The 19,173-nt window shown below is 41.7% G+C and overlaps 1 protein-coding gene and 2 long non-coding RNA genes across 13 annotated transcripts in view, besides 3 other annotated features; 1 reads left to right on the top strand and 2 right to left on the bottom strand.

Moving 5' to 3' along the window:
• Window positions 1–19,173, bottom strand: part of CLYBL (citramalyl-CoA lyase) — a 302,755-nt gene that overhangs the window by 217,466 nt on the left and 66,116 nt on the right. The window lies entirely within an intron of this gene.
• Window positions 870–1,164: a silencer, noted in NCBI's record as "tiled region #256; HepG2 Repressive non-DNase unmatched - State 23:Low". NCBI's record gives its function as "represses a minimal TATA promoter and a strong SV40 promoter by Sharpr-MPRA in HepG2 cells {active_cell/tissue: HepG2}" and the evidence as "EXISTENCE:reporter gene assay evidence [ECO:0000049][PMID:27701403]".
• On the top strand, window positions 1,008–1,881 carry CLYBL-AS2 (CLYBL antisense RNA 2). Its single transcript, NR_046526.1, has 2 exons — window positions 1,008–1,426; window positions 1,623–1,881. It is a non-coding gene; the product is annotated as a CLYBL antisense RNA 2 (long non-coding RNA).
• LOC124903199 (uncharacterized) lies at window positions 1,610–17,561 on the bottom strand. Of its 2 annotated transcripts, none has more exons than XR_007063848.1 (2): window positions 10,792–17,561; window positions 1,610–3,365 (listed from the first exon to the last, which is right to left on the bottom strand). It is a non-coding gene; the product is annotated as an uncharacterized LOC124903199 (long non-coding RNA). The 2 variants fall into 2 exon arrangements; XR_007063847.1 differs by lacking the exon at window positions 10,792–17,561 and adding an exon at window positions 4,759–6,066.
• Window positions 4,393–5,151: an enhancer, noted in NCBI's record as "OCT4-NANOG-H3K27ac-H3K4me1 hESC enhancer chr13:100339082-100339840 (GRCh37/hg19 assembly coordinates)". NCBI's record gives its function as "activates a minimal SCP1, AML or CMV promoter by ChIP-STARR-seq in naive H9 embryonic stem cells {active_cell/tissue: H9 hESC(naive)}" and the evidence as "EXISTENCE:reporter gene assay evidence [ECO:0000049][PMID:30033119]".
• Window positions 5,152–5,909: an enhancer, noted in NCBI's record as "NANOG-H3K27ac-H3K4me1 hESC enhancer chr13:100338324-100339081 (GRCh37/hg19 assembly coordinates)". NCBI's record gives its function as "activates a minimal SCP1, AML or CMV promoter by ChIP-STARR-seq in naive H9 embryonic stem cells {active_cell/tissue: H9 hESC(naive)}" and the evidence as "EXISTENCE:reporter gene assay evidence [ECO:0000049][PMID:30033119]".

Genomic DNA, 19,173 nt, shown 5'->3' with positions numbered 1-19,173 from the left:
CAGAAAGATCAGTCTGAAAACTCAGGGACCGGGAGCTCCGTGCAACATGGCTTTCAAGATCCTAGAAACTCTCGCTCTGTGTTCCCACCACCCTGGGCTGTTTCTTCATCCCATGGGTCCTTCTGTATTTATTTGTCCTTTGCACTGTGATGATTTGGAGGCAGTGACTACGCCTTTTATCTCTGTATCCCTAGAACCAGCAGCACATAGAAGGGACTTGCCAGGTGACTGCGGAAGAAGGGAGGAAGTCGCTATTAGCTTATGAGGAGCTTATAGTCTAAGTTTCAAGCTTTCTCATTTCTCCATTTTCTTATCACGTACAGTGATTACACTAAAAATACTCTGGTACCCTAGTGCTGGTTTTTTGTTTTTTGTTTTTTGGTTTTTTTTTTAGGTCAAAATGGGTCACACAGTGGCAATTTCATATGACTCAATCTAACACAAAGTCACTAGAAAGAATGTCTTTCGGGTCCCATTTCATGATACAAAATGGTTTTTAAACGTCGTTCCCTGAAGATCCTTTGGGGAGCACCAACAGAGAGATAATGGGGAGTGATTCTGATCCCCAACTGTCCCCTTCCCCCCCAAATTTTTAGAGTTTCTATGTAAGAGTTGGTTTGAACAAAAGACTTGTGTCTAAAAATTAGTTTGTAACTAATTTATTTATAGTATTTATAACTCTAGATAACTTAGATATTGATTAAGAAAATATCCCCCAAAACATGTTCTTTAGATCAAGGAAATAAAAAGTAATGCTTAAGCTTTTTGTTTCAGTTCATTGGAAAGCTACAGTGCTTACACATTTTTATGCTGTCTACCATCAGTGCATCTAGGGAAGGGCATCTATGGATGAGGCTACCATGTGGGAAATTCTTGAGTGGGCAGTGAGAGAGGGTTAGCAACTCAAAGCAAGTAATCCAAGGGTTAATCAGGAGAGACACTCAATCCAGAAAGTGCTCATTAACCCAAGCCTTTCTGCATAGTGTCCCTACCACCCTGCTGCCTCTAACTAAACAAAACACGGTAGGTCTCAGTGTGAGAGAGCGCTTTTGTTCACATAGGAGGCTGACAGCTATTTGCGATGAGGGGTTTTTGTTTGTTTGTTTGTTATTCAAATAACTTTTTTCCCCCTGAGGAAACTGAAAGGGAAAATGTCAGAAGTATGTGATTAATGATTTTTTAAAATAGATGGGATCTCCCCGGTTGAATTGAAAAGTAGGTACTGAAAAAGAATCCATTTCTAAATGGTAGATTTTCATATGTAAGTTTGATATTAATTCTTTCAAAAGAGTTGTGCCTGTGAGTCAGATAAATGACAGGAAGGTCTGTCTAAATACCAGCATCCTCGGAAGGGCAGCTGTTCAGAAACATTCTCAAATCATGAAGATAAATAGAACCGGAACACTGATGATTCCATCAACTGATGGTGAGGGAAACATCCAATTCTATCTTAACCTCCAAGCTGTGCGGTATTACGGTGCTTCCTAAAATGCTTTTAAATAAATACACAAAAAAGCCCGTGTTTGCTGGGGATGGGGGAAGTTGGTGATTGGGTTTGGGGGGCACAGGGAAGAGAAGTAGAGAGGAAAAACATACACCAAAATCTATGTTCCTTTTTTAAGGTTCCTTTTAATCAGATCTTAAAGCAAAGACAGAAGCTGAAAACATTTCTAGTAAATAAAAAGCAAAGAACTCTGAATGCTTAGCCGACCAGAACCCCGGAAGGAGCCCGCCTGGTACTGCCAGGCATGACTGCCTTTAGTGGATTTAACAATAAAAAAGAAGATGGCGCCAAATGACCAAACTACATGCGACTTTCCCTTCCCGCAAGAAAAGTGAATAAAACTTTCCACTGGGGCTGGGGGAGGAGGCAAGGGACCAGTCCAGAGAGATAAAATGCTACTTAACAAAACAATGTGGATAGCATTTAGGCCACATGTAAATTTCATCCACAGAGCTTGCAAATGGCATGCAATTTACTGCTCAGAGGATGTAACCTATTTGAGTCTAGAGAGCTAATTAATAACACAGTCTAAAAAGAACGCAGAGTTAATCGCCATCCATCTCCTGGGCTATTTTAACTTGTTTTTTTGACAGTTGCTGTTAAACAAAATTCTAAATATTGTTATAGCAGTCAGTTATTAGTTACCTTAACAAGATGCAAGTTTGGTGTTGGTCAAAGTTAAATCCTTTTAAAAAAAATACTTGAAAAAGTTGAAGCTGCTCTCCTCTTTAGAGCTTGTTCTGTGATGGATAAAAATTGCATCTATAAAGGTTTCAAGTCAGGTCACATTTAGAAAGTAATAGTAAATAACAGTAACTGGTAAACACAGTCCTAAGTCTTACTTGCAATTGCTCAAGTTGAAACAATTGAATACAGTCTTCAAAAATCATACTCTCATTTACAGATATGACTGGGCACATGGGATTTCAATCATGCTCCTTCATTGCTGAGAATCATGGAATTAAAATGGTAATAATTTTTACCTCTCACTTTTCTCTTGCCTTTTTCTTCCTTTAAGCATACCTGCACTAAGTAATTTTTGCTTTTCACTGATAACAAGAGAAGTTAGAGCCAGATTATTTTCTCTGGGACAACCTGTCTGTGATTGCAAGAATATAGTTCAAAACATCCTACAACTGGTATATGTGTAGCCCACCCTAAATCCTGTCTCCCCTGAAGCTTGCTGAAGGAAAGCGTGATGCCTCTCCATTCTGACCTGGTATGTATGCTTCTGGAATCCTGAAGCTGAGAATGAACTATATCCACTTTGCAGTAATGAAGCTTAAAATGTCAAAGATTCTGTAAGAGATTTTTGAGTGGAGGAAGATACTTGATGAATTTATGTGAAGTCCCAAGGGCTAGATGCTGGGACCCTAGATTCCAGCCAGAGTGTACTTACTAAGGACAGGAGGGGTGATGCTTGGGGTGTGAGGCCGGTTTTATTGAGAGTCCTTCCAAAACTGAGTGGGCAGACCTGGAAAACGCAGGTTTCACCTTGGCCTCAGTCCCAAAGGTGCATCTGTACCACTAGCTTTTGTCAGGATGAATGACGGTGCTGAGTAATTTCAGGAAAGCAACTCATCTGCCCAAATATGACTGCCAAAATATTCAGAATAATGTAGCTTAGCACTTCAATGTAAATTTTACTTTCTGACTTCACAAATAAGGAAGAAGTTGCCTTTTGGACGCTCTATCTTTTGCACTGGCTTTAATACCCAGGAACGGCCACTGTCAGATCCTCCATTCCATGCAGGAGCTGGAAGAGATATAAGGAATGTATTTCTTCTCTCTCTCTTCATGTCACCACCCTCTCATTTCCAGTTCACTTGTTATTCTTAAAGAGTAATGCCAAGTTTGTACACTAAAAAAAAAAAAAGAATCGGACTAAAGAAAAGCCAAATAAGTAATATAATTAGTAAATATGCTAATTCAGATTAAAATATAAGTCTTTAAAAAGTTCAACTTGTTATATGTAAAATTATTTTAATGACATATTGGAGAAAAATCTGGCATTATGCTGCCAAGAAGGCAATACATTTAAGGCAATCTTACAAAGTATATGAAATCACAGACTGTAATATCCTGCAACTATTTTAATTTTAAAAGCTCAGTTTACAAATATATACTAATATTTTTCTCACTTTTAATCGCTCCCCCACTGTTTTAGCATAAGAGCTAAAATAACCTAAAACGGCCCCTAAAACACACACAGCGAGTCTGTTACACAGATCTGGAAACCAAAAAAAAATGTATGAAGGAAGGAATTTTCAATAATCTGAAACAGAGTAGCAAAAAATGTGTGTGGTTTCTAGGTTTTCACTACTAATAAAAATTTTTCCTGGGAAAAATTTTACTTTAAAGCAACTCTAAATGAAAATGCATATAATTAAGGGAAAGACCGTTGCTTCAAACAGATTGACTGTCTTTAACAAGTTTCTCTCTTTCTAGCTACTCAGATATGCTATATTTCCTAATTATCACCTTTTAAGGGCCATCTGGGCCCATTCCTCCCCATCAGGGGGCAATTCCATTTGCATTGTTCCTGGGCTTAGTCATGATCAAGTAGTCTGGTGGTAAAGTTCATTAGAAATTAGAACAGAAGCATTCAACCCAACACAGTAAACCAAGTATCTGATACTCAGGCACCCGCAGGAGAGATGATAAGCATGTCAGACATATTCTCACATAACTAACAAGTCTTCAATGTGCATTTTATCCAATTGCTTAAAGAAACATTCAGCCTGGTCCCTGACCAGGTATGTAATGAAGATTTGATTAAGTCTTCTCACACTGCAAAACATTTCTCAGTTAAGGCAATGTAAGTATAGTCCCTTATGTCTTTTGGTTCAAAAGTCTATTAAAAACCCTTTAATGGTTCCCTCATTTAGCCTACCATTCACAAGCAGTATACTACTTCCTTCCTGTAGAGAACACACAAGAATTATCCTAATTGTATTTTCTGTGAAACAAACGCACATTACAGGAAAAAGTGGATCCAGCCCTCAGTCCGATGCTGACTAGCTATGGGTCCCTTCTGTCCTCACCAAGAGATCATCCTATAGATTCACAAGCTCTTTACAAACCTGTGTGTGTGCCAAAGGCATGCCTGGCCCATGGGTATGCTAGATAGTCCAGGCAGCTGCTCTTCAACAGAGCTGATTGTAAAAGGTATGGCTAATTCAAGGCAGGCATATAAAAGGTTTCCCGCTTCATACCTCATAAGGCCTGATACATAAAACCCAGGAAATCGTTACCTGCCTCATCTTGCAATTTCTGAGCCTGGCTTGCAATGGCCATCTTAATCCGCAACACCAGCCTATTGAGATTGAGGAGGAGTGCTCCATGCTGAGACCTACAGCCTCTTGGAGCTACACCTTAGTCTTGCAAATGAAGACAGCTGCAGCGGGCCCTAATCTATGCAAGGCAGGTGTAGCCCCGGAGCTCTCTGCAAGTGACCCTTGGAGCTATTAGGGCTGGGAAGTTAAGAAGTTACAGTTATAAAAAGAACTATTTCATAGCCTCTCATTATCGAGGTTACTAAGCTTTCTAAAGGAACAATGGCTTATTTCCTCCCATTTGTGCCTTGATATCCTCCCCTGCCCTTCTGAAATTCCCTGTTTAGACAGTTCCTAATTCTGACCCCGGCTGAGACACTTTAAATTGGTGGCATAGCTCGTCCCCAACTGATGCTATTCGTTCAATGCTGTGTTGAAAATTTGAATCTGCGTCAAGTTTTCCATTTTAAAAACCTATCCTAAAATCCACTATCCAGACAGAAGTGGAGATTTCAGGAGAAAGTAATGCTTACAGAATCATCCCAAGATTCAATAATGTATATAAATGATACTTTAGTACTGCTTAGTAAATTAATCTAAAGCAAAACATTGCATTACTGAAACTGAGCCAACAACAATTCACTCAAAAAGCAGTCACTGAGTCTCTCTCTCTCTCTCTCTCTCTCTGTTGAAACAAATACTTTTATGTCTGAGGCCAGCTCCTGGCCTCGAGAGTGTCTCTCAAAGGACTGTGGAAACAGAACTCCAAAGATGTTTCTGCTATAGAAGGAAATGGCTGTGTCACTGTGTTATCAGCAAGGCCACCAGATGCTCAGAGGGGAGGTGGTGCTGGTGCTGGGCCGAGCCGGTGAGCTCAGCACTAGGAGCTGCCGGCTCCTGCGAGTCAGGCCCATGTCAGTCTAGGAGCATAGTCCAAATGGAGCAGCTATATATGCCCTGGAAAAACTCAGAGCATGTAGCCTGGATTGAAAGAAGGTCTCCTCCCAGGGCTCTCACCCTTTTCTTAGCTCAGAGTGTCCCTGAAACAGCTCCACACAAATTCCCGGGAACTGCCACACTGTCTTCTCCAGCATAGCACAAAAGAGAATAAAGGGGGAAATTTGGTCCTGGAGTCAAAGGTGGGCTCTGAATCTGTTTGACTGTATAGCAGGAATCACAGCACTCTTATCACAGGGACGCAGGAGAAAAATGTCTATGAGATTCTTTTTCTTTTTTTTGAAACAGGGTCTTGTTCTGTCGCCCAGGCTGGAGTGCAATGGCGCAATCTCCGCTCACTGCAACCTCCACCTCCCGGGTTCAAGCGATTCTCGTTCCTCAGCCACCCGAGTAGCTGAGATTACAGGCACACACCACCAAACCCAGCTAATTTTTGTATTTTTAGTAGAGGCGGGGTTTCACCATGTTGGCCAGGCTGGTCTCGAACTCCTGACCTCAAGTGATCCACCCACCTTGGCCTCCCAAAGTGCTGGGATTACAGGCTTGAGCCACCGTGCCCGGCCTCTAAGAGGTTCTTGAGAGAGAAGGACTCAGCAAACCTTAAGGCCATCCTCTTATCCACTGGGAACAAACCCCTCACACCACCAACCATCTAAAGGAGTGAAGTTTTGCTCCGATGATGCTTAAATTATATCGGTTTCAGTAGAGGAGGTTGCTGAAACCCAAAATCATTGTATGTGGTTATAGTGAAACTTTGTCAGTCAAGTTCATTTTTTTAAGTTCGATTTTAAGGCTTACTTTAAAAACCCAGGAGAGGATATATTAATTTTGAAATAAAGATTATAAATATGTTGAAACATTGGCTTTTCTTGAAGAATTATTTTAATTTTTTATTAGTTCTACTGTATTTTTTCTACCCTTCACTTCTGGAATACACATAATAGGCTTTTTCCCCCCTTCAATTTTTGTAGAACTATTGAGTTTTCATAAAGGTATAAAGTTTGAAACAAGTACAGAAAGCTTGTAAATGTACCAGAAATGCTGTGCTATACTTCCATACCCATTACTTCTAACAATTTCACAAGAAGGGGCACATTTTCGTGAGTTGTGTGATGTTTTAGCAACAAGACTCCTATGGACTTTAATGGAAGTCACACAGCTAAAACTCCATGCACCACTTTGAAAATTTAAGAGTAATTGCTAAGTCCCCCTTAGAGGGTCATAGAAATATTAAAAACCAAAGTATTTTGCTAAGAACTCCAATTACGCCTGAAGGCTTACATCAGATTTTATCAAACAATTGGTCACATATATAATGTACTCTAATGCTGTTTTATTGGCTGGTTGTTTTCTTTATAAAAGAAGGTTTTTGTGAAGTCCTGTGTGAACAGGAACATACAATACAGTAACCTTTGGTTCAAGTGTTCACTCCAACCCATGGTTCAGTCTTATGGGGTGGTAGCAGTGGGAAACAAATGGGCCTGGGAACATTTTATCTTGTTATTATTTCACAGGGGATCATTATGTTCACTGCATCATCGGACTGGTAGATTTTGCAGAAATACATGAAGCTGTTGAACATAACCAATCTGCCCTGGTGAACATTCATCCTCAGAATCCCTTGTGACTGGCTGGGTTAAGAAGGCTGATCCTTTATGGGTGAGGTAGTGGTAGTAGCCTAAGAACCCTGTCTTAGTAGAACCTGCCTTCCTTCCAGAATCATAAGAAGGTTCATTCATGTGGTCGGAATCCAGCTTTTCTATTTAAATTTTTTGTTTGTTTGTTTTTAGATACAGTCATGCGCCACATAACTTTCAGGTCAACAACAGACCAAATATACCACAGTGCTCCCATAAGATTATACTGGGCCGGGCCCGGTGGCTAAAAATACAAAAATAAACTGGGTGTGGTGGCACGCACCTGTAATCCCAGCTATTTGGGAGGCTGAGGCACGAGAATTGCTCAAACCTGAGAGACAGAGGTTGCAGATCGCGCCACTGCCCTCCAGCCTAGGCAACAGAAAGAGAATCTGTCTCAAAAAAAAAAAAAAAAAAAATCAAACATGCCAGGCCCGGTGGCTCACATCTGTAATCATAGCACTTTGGGAGGCCGAGGTGGGCAGATCATAAGGTCAGGAGTTCAAGACCAGCCTGGTCAACATGGTGAAACGTCGTCTCTATTAAAAATACAAAAAAAAAAAAAAAAAATTAGCCAGGCATGGTGGCATGCGCCTGTAATCCCAGCTACTCAGGAGGCTGAGGCAGGAGAATGGCATGAACCTGGGAGGTGGAGCTTGCAGTGAGCCGAGATTGTGCCACTGCTCTCCAGCCTGGGTGACAGAGTGAGACTCTGTCTCAAAAAAAAAAAAAATTTTATATATATATAGCAATACAACCATGCACAGTACATAATACTTGATAATAATAAATGTTACTGGTTTTATATTATGCTTTACATTTTATCTTCATTTTAGACTATACGCCTCCTTATTAAAAAAAAAAAAAGTTAACTGTAAAATAGACTCATGTGGGTCCTTGAGGAGGCATTCCAGAAGAAGGCATTGTTATCACAGGAGACAACAGCTCTGTGCGTGTTATTGCCCCTAAAGACCTTCCACTGGGACAAGCTGTAGAGGTGGAAGACAGTAATATTGATGATCCTGACCCTGTGTAGGCCTAGGCTAATGTATGTGTTTGTGTTTTTGCTTTTAACAAAAAGTTCAAAAAGTATAAAAAATAAAAATTAAAAATATAAAAAAGCATATAGAATAAGAGATAAAGGAAATATTTTTGTACAATGTGTGTTTTAAACTTACTGTTACTATAAAAGAGTCATAAAGTTAAAAATATAAACAAAGTTTACAGGCTAGGCGTGATGGCTCAAACCTGTAATCCTAGCACTTTGGGAGGCTGAGGTGAGCGGATCACAAGGTCAGGAGTTCGAGACCAGCCTGGCCAAAATGGTGAAACCATGTCTCTACTAAAAACACAAAAATTAGCCTGGTGTAGGGGGGGGCACCTGCAAGCCCAGCCACTTGGGAGGCTGAGGCAGGAGAATTGCTTGAACGTGGGAGGCAGAGGTTGCAGTGAGCTGAGATTGTGCCACTGCACTCCAGCCTGGGTGACAGAGCAAGACTCCATCTCAAAAACAAACAAAACAAAACAAAACATATATATATATATAAAGTTTATAAAGTAAAAAGTTGGGCCAGGTGTGGTGACTCACACCTGTAATCCCAGCACTTTGGGAGGGCGAGGTGGGTGAATCACCTGAGGTCAGGAGTTCGAGACCAGCCTGGCCAACATGGCGAAACCCCCGTCTCTACTGAAAATACAAAAATTAGCCGGGCGTGGTGACAGGTGCCTGTAGTGCCAGCTACTCAGGAGGCTGAGACAGAAGAATCACTTGAACTCGGGAGGCTGAGATTGCAGTGAGCCAAGATCACGCCACTGTACTCCAGCCTGGGTGACAGAATGAGACTCCGTTTCAAAAGAAAAAAAAAATGTTATAGTAAGCTAAGGTTAATTTACTACTGAAGAAAAGTTTTTTGTTTTTTTTAATAAATGTAGTATAGTCTAAGTATATAGTGTTTACAAAGTCTACAGTAGTGACAGTAATGTCCTAGGCCTTCATATTCACTCACTGCTCACTCACTGACTCACCCAGAACAACATGAGGTCCTGCAAGCTCCATTCATGGTAAGAGCCTTCTGTGAGTGTTCCATTTTAAATCTTTTATGCAGTATTTTTACTGTACCCTTTTTCTGTTCATATATGTTTAGATATAGAAATCCTTACCCCTGGCTGGGCGCGGTGGCTCACTCCTGTTATCCCAGCACTTTGGGAGGCCAAGGTGGGCAGACCACAAGGTCTGGAGTTCGAAACCAGCCTGGCCAATATGTTGGAACCCCATCTCTACTAAAAATACAAACATTAGTCAGGCATGGTGGCAGGCGCATGTAGTCCCAGCTACTCAGGAGGCTGAGGCAGGAGAATCACTTGAACCCAGGAGGTGGAGGACGCAGTGAGCCGAGACTGCGCCACTGCATTCCAGCCTGGGCGACAGAGCGAGACTCTGTCTCCAAAAAAAAAAAGAAAAGAAAAGAAATCCTTACCACTGTGTTACAATTGCCTACAGTATTCAGTAGCTACATGTTGTGTAGGTTTATGTCAGAGGGGCAATAAGCCATACCACACAGCCTAGGTGTGCGGTAGGTTGTAACATCTAGGTTTGTGGAAATACATTCTGTGATGGTAGCACAACGATGAAATTGCCTAAGGATGCATTTCTCAAGACGTATTCTCATTGTTAAGTGACACATGACTGTAATCTGAAACTAACAGAAAAGATGCAAGGAGGCAGGGAGTGGTGGCTCACACCTGTAATCCTGGCACTGTGGGGGGCCGAGACAGGTGGATCACTTGAGGTCAGGAATTTGAGACCAGCCTGGCCAACTGGTGAAACCCCGTCTCTGCTAAAAATACAAAAAGTAACCAGGCGTCGTGGCACATGCCTGTAACCCCAGCTACTCAGGAGGCTGAGGCAGGAGAATCGCTTGAACCCGGAAGGTGGAGGTTGCAATGAGCCGAGACCGTGCCACTGAACTCTAGCCTGGGTGACAGTGGGAGACTCTGTCTCAAAAAAAATAAAAATAAAAATGCAAGGATAGCTAAATAATTCCTGAATTCTCCTTACCCAGTCTTACCAACTGTTAGCACTAACATTCTGCCACATTTCTTTATCATTACTGCTCTCTCTGTCTCTCTTGGTCTCTCTCTCTCCATATGTATAAATACAGATATAGATAGGTAGATATGCATAATATATGCAGATATAAATTTATTTTTATATAGTATGCACCTGTATTTTTTCCGTGAACCATCTGTAAGTTATATTCATTGTGCCCCTATACTCTTAAATGGTTCCCCAAACCAAGGACACTCTCCTACACAACTTTATTGCAATTATCCAAATCAGAAAATGTAACATGGGTACGATACTAGTATCTATTCTACAGGCCTTATTTAAATATCACAAATTATCCCAATAACGTACTTTATCTCCATTTATTTTTCCGGCTTAAGATCCAATCCAGAATCACTCTTTACATTCAGCGATGATGCTTCTTTAGATGAAGTAAGTTACAGCACTACTTCCTTCTTAGGACTTTGTTCACAGACTAAAGACTCCACTCATAATCTTCTGAATGTTATGGCGCTGGTCCAAAATAATCACAAAGGAAAAATTTTAATTTATAGGACAACTCAAATTATCTTTTTCTTCCTTTCATGGAATAGGAAAGAGTGTGTGGATAGGCCACAGTAAAACATCATGAAAAATGCGGCGCTTATCAACTAGGTAGTTTGTTTATTGGGTCCATGTCTGATGCTAATGCTACTAAGGTTTTAGGCAGTGGGAGAAACCCAGTGGTCTGTCCTAAGGCCAAAGACTGGGCCCTTAGTTTCAGCAGCCATCCACGTCTCTGCTACTACACAGAAAGAGGGCTAAATATGGAGCATAGGTATTCCATAGGCACATGGCAACAGCATCAGGGAATACACTCAGAATCCTTCTACCCTGGTGGGCCATTCTGTGATGGAAGCACATTGGATAACTCAAGGTCTCACTTAGGTATAAAACAAACAAGCTTTTCGACTAGTGATGACAAACTCTGGGTTCTGGATTGAGGATGAGGGGTTTATTTTCTTCTCTGGCCAGTCCTAGTCCGTTATTTTTGGAGGCCTCTTGTAAAATTACCTTTTACAAGGTTGGTCAACTTAGATATCATTCTTTTATTTCATTGCAACAGGAAGATTAGTTAGGCAACTCTGCTATCCTAACCTTATGAATGCCATCTCATCAGGCTAAGTTATGTACCTTCTAACTTGATTCACAAAACAATGAAAGTAGAATCTAGGAAAATTGGAGTACGTTTTTATGGAAGGGTGGACTGCATCATCGAAGACTTGCAGGCAAAACCACAGAGAAGTACAAATGGTGCTCTAGAAATTAAAAATGGGTGTCAGATACTAACCTGTGAATGTGTGGAGGAAGACGATGTTTATAAAGAATGCTTTTCATTTGCTGTCATAGGCACTGCCATATTGAAATTCCCCCATTAATTAGTAGGCCAACTTTAAACTGACACTTCCCATGAAAACACGAGCCAGTTTTCAAAGTTGTGAATGCAAAAGTTTCCAGCACAAATACTGAAAAGTACAAACTGAGCATCCTAAATGTTTATATTAACTATTGCCCCAAGAAGGTAATATGGTCATTTAATATTATTTAATGCCTAAGTACATGCATTAGACAGTAACATACATAGCTCTTTAGGATGCTGTTTCTCACATCAGGATCTAGTTGGCCAAACATTTCCTTTGAATGACGTTTAATAACGTGCACCTGGAAATCTGAGGGCAGCTGTGGCATTTTCTATGTAATTAATGGCTAGAGGAATCCATAGAAATGCTTTTCTTCCCATTTCTACCAGACATTTCCCCCCCCACCCTCTCCTTCCCATTTTGGAAAGAGAAGAAATATGGCTTATATAAAGTGGATTGTGGTTACTCATTACATGACATTTGGACAGATGTGTCATTTGCAGATCTAAAAGGTCTGTGCTTCACCACCCTCTACATAATTACTCAGATCACCATCTGAGGAGCTGTAAGAGTGATTCACAAGGAAAAAGAAAGTCCCAGCACAGTGGAGATCTGAGTAACACTGGGAAACAAACACAGATTCCCCGGGTGAGGAAGATGGACGCTGAATACCCTAAAAGGTCACATTAAAGAGGAGTTCTGGGACATTAAGAGCATTTCTTGAGGCCCAAAATTTCGATTCTCCTTTTCTGACATGTATCCAGGGCAGAATTTAATTAGCTTATACAATTTTGGTACAATTAGCTTATACTATTTTTCTTTTTCTTTTCTTTTTTTTTTTTTTTGAGTCGGAGTCTCGCTCTGTCGCCCAGGCTGGAGTGCTGTGGCGCAATCTTGGCTTACTGCAACCTCCACCTCCCGGGTTCACGCCATTCTCCTGCCTCAGCCTCCCAAGTAGCTGGGACCACAGGCGCCCGCCACCACACCCGGCTAATTTTTTGTATTTTTAGTAGAGACAGGGTTTCACCGTGTTAGCCAGGATGATCTCAATCTCCTGACCTCGTGATCTGCCCGCCTCGGCCTCCCAAAATGCTGGGATTACAGACATGAGCCTCCACGCCTGGCGTATACAATTTTTCTAATGAGCAATATATTAGAAATACAAACAAGTTAAAATATTTTGAGTGAGAGAAACAATGGTTACCTAAGTGTCCAGCACATACTAGGTCCTCAATAAATATCTAGTCAGTGAATAAATGCTAATAGAATTATCCTGTACTTTCTGGAATTTTTTTTTTCTGTACTTTGTATTTTTAAAGAGTTAACCTAAATTAAAATGTCAGGAGACTGAAATATTTCACGCTCTTTCTGCCTACCTTTTAATTATATAAAAGATGATTGTAACAAACCCACAATGTAAGTCTCCTCAAACAAAAAAGATAATAATACTTTCCTGATTTCAGTTTGGTTGCAGAAAAAAGGCAAATTGGTGCATAATTAACAATTTGTTGGTGTAAATTCATCTGCATCTTTTAATTGGTGTTAATTAGATTAGGACTAAAATTTCTTTAATCCTCTATCTTGCCTTTTTTGATGCAAACTAATTTTCTCAGCTGGATGTCAAAGTTTCCCATTAATTACACTTTTCTAAAGGGAGCTTCTTCAACAATGTAGACTCAAACATATAGACCAAGAGCAGATTTCAGCAGAGCTTGGAATCAACCTTTTGGGAAAAATAAGGCATGGTGAGAAGTGACACTTAGGAGATAACTAGTGAATTTACCCAAATTCACTGGTGAATCAAGGCTTCCACAATTAGCAAATCAGAGACTGTCTGATACATGAGAGCCTCCAGCATTTGGCAGCTGTAAATAACACCCTGTAACACAACTCTGCCGCAGTGCAGATGTTAGAGCAGACCTTCTGAAACAACAATGACAAAATGTTCAGCCGTATGGTTAAGAAGACAACTTCCTTTTAAAACTCAACAATATCGGTAATGCCATTGCCTTTTACTCTGCATTACCCAGGGGCCATTCATAAGGCTGGCATGGCTATTTCCAGTGGAAAACACGCGCAAATGTAAACCATCTTAAGTGAATTAAGTTCCACATTTCATACGGTTTCCTCCAAATATTGCAACTCTTCTACAACGGTTAGCATGTCAGGAGGAAAAGCCACAAAATACATTCAATATCTTTTATGGCAAGGTGACCTGAAATAAAATTTTATGTAGTCAAGGATTTCTGATAGTTCTTTATCCATAGCTTTCCTCTCACTCTGTAGCAGTGATGATTGAAACCCGATGTGTACTGCAAAAAAGGGCTATAAATCTTTTTATGTACAAATAAAACAGTAGCCATTAAATTTTGCTATGATGTCTGAGTAGATATTCAGCATGAAAACATGATAAAACAACTGTAAACTGATTGTGATCAAATGTAATTACAATGACTTGTCTCCAATGAATGACATGAACTAAATACAGTCACAGATTTCTCCAAAATTACTTTGGGCAAAGAACCAAGAGAACACTATATCCTTTCTTCACTAAAGGCATTTTGCCAGATAAATCGCAAACACACAAGCTTTAATAACTACTGCCAAAAAAGCACTTGGGAACTCATTATGGAAACGTTTAAAACACACACAGACACAGACACACGTGCACTCATATTTAATAAAAACTCTTCCTCCATATTAATATAATTTTACTGAAAAAGCCACGTGTTTTGAGATTTTTAATTGATGCTCCCCAGAAGTAAATCTAAGGAGTGATCGGCAATTACAAGCTTTTTTTTTTTCCTCTCTCAAAGTCAATGTATTTGGCTGCCGTTTCTGGCATCTTTATCTTGGAGAGGTTATAAGAAAATCTACTTGGATATTTTTATGCAGCTAAAAGTAAACAATGATCTGGATTCTGAAATAATCTGATCTTTTCAATACGCCAATGCAGGTAGATTCTCTCCCTCATTCTCTGCCCTTTTTGAGGTGACTTATTGCATTACCTCCAGGAACAGAAAAAATAAAAATGACCGTATACACAGGAGTCACATTCAGCAGTAATTATGGCTGACACAGGTCTACGAACCTAAGGACCTGGGAAAAAAAGGGGACAATTTGTGCTCTCAGCTCTACTGTCCAACTTTGTCCTTTTTTTTTTTTTAACCTCTAGTCCTGAAATTGTGGCAGTATTTATCTATACACCATTTGGGAATATTATTAAGAATGATGGGCCGAGCGCAGTGGCTCATGCCTGTAATCCCAGCACTCTGGGAGGCTGAGGTGGGCAGATCACCTGAGGTCGAGAGTTCGAGACCAGCCTGACCAACATGGAGAAACCCCATCTCTACTAAAAATACAAAATTAGCTGGGCATTTTTCACCCAGTGGTGGGGCATGCCTGTAATGCCAGCTACTCGGGAGGCTGAGGCAGGAGAATCGCTTGAACCTGGGAGGTGCAGGTTGCAGTAAGTCGAGATTGTGCCATTGCACTCCAGCCTGGGCAACAAGAGCAAAACTCCACCTCAAAAAAAAAAAGAATGAAGAAGGCTGGGTGTGGTGGCTCATGCCTGTAATCCCAGCACTTTGGGAGGCTGAGGTGACTTGAGGTCAGGAGTTTGAGACCAGCCTGGCCAACATGGCGAAATCCTGTCTCTACTAAAAAAACAATTAGCCAGGCCTGGTGGCAGGTGCCTGTAATCCCAGCTACTCGAGTGGCTAAGACATGAGAACAAATGAGGTGGAGGCTGCAGTGAGCCGAGATTGCGCCATTGCACTCCAGCCTGGGTGACAAGAGTGAAACTCTGTCAGAAAGAGAGAAGAGGACAGGAGGGGAGGGGAGAGGAGGGAAGAAAGAGAGAGAGAAAGAGAAATAGAAAAAGAAAAAGAAAGGGAGGAAAGGAAGGAAGGAAGGAAGGAAGGAAGGAAGGAAGGAAGGAAGGAAGGAAGGACGGACGGAGGGAAGGAAGGAAGCCAGTCTGTGGCCAGGGGTGGTGGCTCACGCCTGTAATCCCAGCACCATGGGAGGCCGAGGCGGGCAGATCACCTGAGGGTAGGAGTTCGAGACCAGCATGGCCAACATAATGAAACTCTATCTCTACTAAAAATACAAAAAATTAGCCAGGCGTGGAGGCACAGTGCCTGTGATCCCAGCTACTTGGGGGGCTGAGGCACAAGAACAACTTGAACCCGGGAGGTGGAGGTTGCAGTGAGCTGAGATCATGCTACTGCATTCTAATTCCATTCCTAAGTATAACCCCAGAAGAAATATACCCATACAACAATGTGTACAGAAATGTTCATAGCAGCATTATTCATAATAGCTAAAAAGTAGAAACAACCTAAATTTCCAACAACTAATCAATGAATAAATAAAATGTGGTATATATTAGTACATACAGTGGAATATTATTTGGCCCTAAAAAGGAATGAAGTACTGCCACATGCTACAGCTTGGATGAAGCTTGAAAACATTATACTAAGTGAAAGAAGCCAGTCACAAAAGACCACGTATCGTATGATTCCATGTATATGAAGAGTCCAGAATCGGCAAATATAGAAAGACAGAAAGTAGACTAGTGGTTGCCTAGGACTGAGGGTTTTGGGGGAAAAGGAGGAGTGACTGCTAATGGGAACAGGGTTTCTTTTGGGGCTGAAGAAACAGTGATAGAAATAAAATTAATCATGGTGATGGTTGCATAACACTGAATAGACTAAAAACCATTAAATTCATTGAACTGTATACTTTAAATAGGTGAACTGTATGAGATGTAAATTATATCTCAATAAAGCTGATATAGACACATAAAGTATATACACATATAGGGCATACATATATAAGGTAGAAATAGTCACATCTGTAATGCAGTGGTCCTGGTCCCCTTTATGTATGTGACAGTAGAAGATGCAGCATCAATATTAAAGCCTGATGAGTGCTCCAAATACGGTTTCATTTAAATATTGTCTGCCCCTGAAGAGGAGGAATATTAGGAAAAATCCATTCCATGCTTCTACCAAATCTGCTCTTGTCAAGGTCACCCATGACCCCCACGTGGCTAAATCCAATAGCCCAATTTTTGTTTTTTTAAGAGACAGGGTCTGGTCTGGCTATGTTGCCCAGACTGGAATGCAGCAGCTATTCACAGGAGCGATCATTGTTCTCTGCAGCCTCGAACTCCTGGGCTCATGCCATCCTTGCATCTCAGTCTCCTGAGTGGCTGGAATTATAGACAAGCACCATTGCATCCAGCTTTCAATAGTCGATTCTTGGTTTCCTAATTATCTGACCCAGTGGCAGCAACATCTGGTGCAATCACCCCCTCCCAACTTGCTGTACTGTTTTCACTTGGTTCCCAGGACATATACTCCTTGGTAATCATCCTATCTTACTGCTCATGACTTCTCCATCTCCTTTGCTGGTTCCCCCTCCACTTCTTCTTACGCATCCCTTAATGTTGGAGTGTCCAACATTAAGACAGAAAATAGATTAGTGGTTGCCTTGGGCTGAGGTCTTCGTGGGGAAACGGGGTGTGACTGCTCAGTCAGCTCTGTGTCCATTCCTAAGTCACCCCACCCAGACTTTAAATACCATTTCTCTGCTAACAGCTCCCACACGTACATCTCCAGACCCAGCCTCTCTCCCCAAAACTGCCTACTTCATACCTCCACTTAGAATTCTAGTAGCTATCAGCTGGGCATGGTGGCTCACGCCTGTAATCCCAGCACTTTGGGAGGCCGAGATGGGCAGATCACGAGGTCAGGAGTTCGAGACCAGCCTGGCCAACATGGTGAACCCCTGTCTTTATTAAAAATACAAAAATTAGCCAGGCATGGTGGCACGTGCCTGTAATCCCAGCTACTCAGGAGACTAAGGCAGGAGAATCGCTTGAACCTGCGAGGCGGAGGTTGCGGTGAGCCAAGACCACACCATTGCACTCCAGCCTGGGTGACAGAGCAAGACTCCATCTCAAAAAAAAAAAAAAAAAAAAAAAAAAAGAATTCTAGTAGCTAAAAAAAAACGAATTCTAGTAGCTATCTTAAATTCAACATGTCCAAAGCTGAACTCTTGACCTCCACCCCTACCCCAACAAAAGCGTGCTCCATTTATTGCCAAACCCATTTTGAAAGCCACTCTTTCCCTCCAGTCACACAAACCAAAAACCTTGACAGTCATCCTTGACTCCTCTTTTATTTCCAACTGAGAAACACTCAACCCACCAGGAAATCTCATTGATTCTGCTTCGAAACATATCCCAGGTACATCTCACTCAGTTTGAGACACCAGCAGCTCTCACCTGTCTCACAGCAACTATCTCCTGACGGGTCTCCCCACTTCAACCCTCGTCTCCTACATGGTATTCTCAACATAACTTCTGGAGGGATCTGTTTAAAAACTCTGCAATGGCTCCTCATTCCACCTGGAGTAAAGCCAACATCCTTCCAGCGATCTGGCCTCTGGTTCCCCCTCTGGTCTCACCTCCATTGCTGTGGACCCCTCTCACTTCACACCAGCCCACAGCCCTCCCTGCTAACCACGGACACACAGGGCTGCTCTACCTAGACCATTCTTCCTCAAAAGTATTCAAGGCTAAGTCCTTCCTCTCCTTCAAACTTTTGCTCAGATATTACCTTCTCAATGGGGCTTATCCTTACCCCCTATTTAAAATAGCATCCTGCCTCCCCTCATTTCCTTTGCCCCTGTCGCACCATTTCTTTTTTTTTTTTTGAGACGGAGTCTCGCTCTGTCGCCCAGGCTAGAGTGCAGTGGTGCTATCTCACCTTACTGCAACCTCTGCCTCCCGGGTTCAAGTGATTCTCCTGCCTCAGCCTTCTGAGTAGCTGGGATTACAGGTGTGCGCCACCATGCCCGGCTAATTTTTGTATTTTTAATAGAAACAGGGTTTCACCATGTTGGCCAGGCTGGTCTTGAACTCCTGACCTCAGGTGATCTGCCTACCTCAGCCTCTCAAAGTGCTGGGATTACAGGCTAAGCTACCATGCCTGGCCCCTGTTGCACCTTTTCTGTTGCACCATGACACTGGACACTTTCTAAAATTCTCCATGACCAACTTATTTATCTCTGTTGTTACCATCAGCCTGCTGAATTGTAAGCTCTAGGGGGGCAGATTTTGGTTCTGTTCATGGATGGATCTCCCCAGTGCCCTGAACATGGTGGCTCCTCAATACCCATTGGGCGCATGGATGAAGGACTGCTGAAGATCCCATGCGCCCTTCCCCTGCCATCATCTGGCTAATGGCAACTTTAAGGGTTAAGGGCATAGAGTTTTGCCACACAGATTTTCAAACAAAATGAACAGTGGAGAAAAATGAGG

Source organism: Homo sapiens, chromosome 13 (assembly GCF_000001405.40).
Source record: "Homo sapiens chromosome 13, GRCh38.p14 Primary Assembly".
Lineage (NCBI taxonomy): Eukaryota > Metazoa > Chordata > Mammalia > Primates > Hominidae > Homo > Homo sapiens.
Note: the sequence above shows the minus strand (reverse complement) of the source record. Positions and strands in the feature narration are given on the sequence as shown.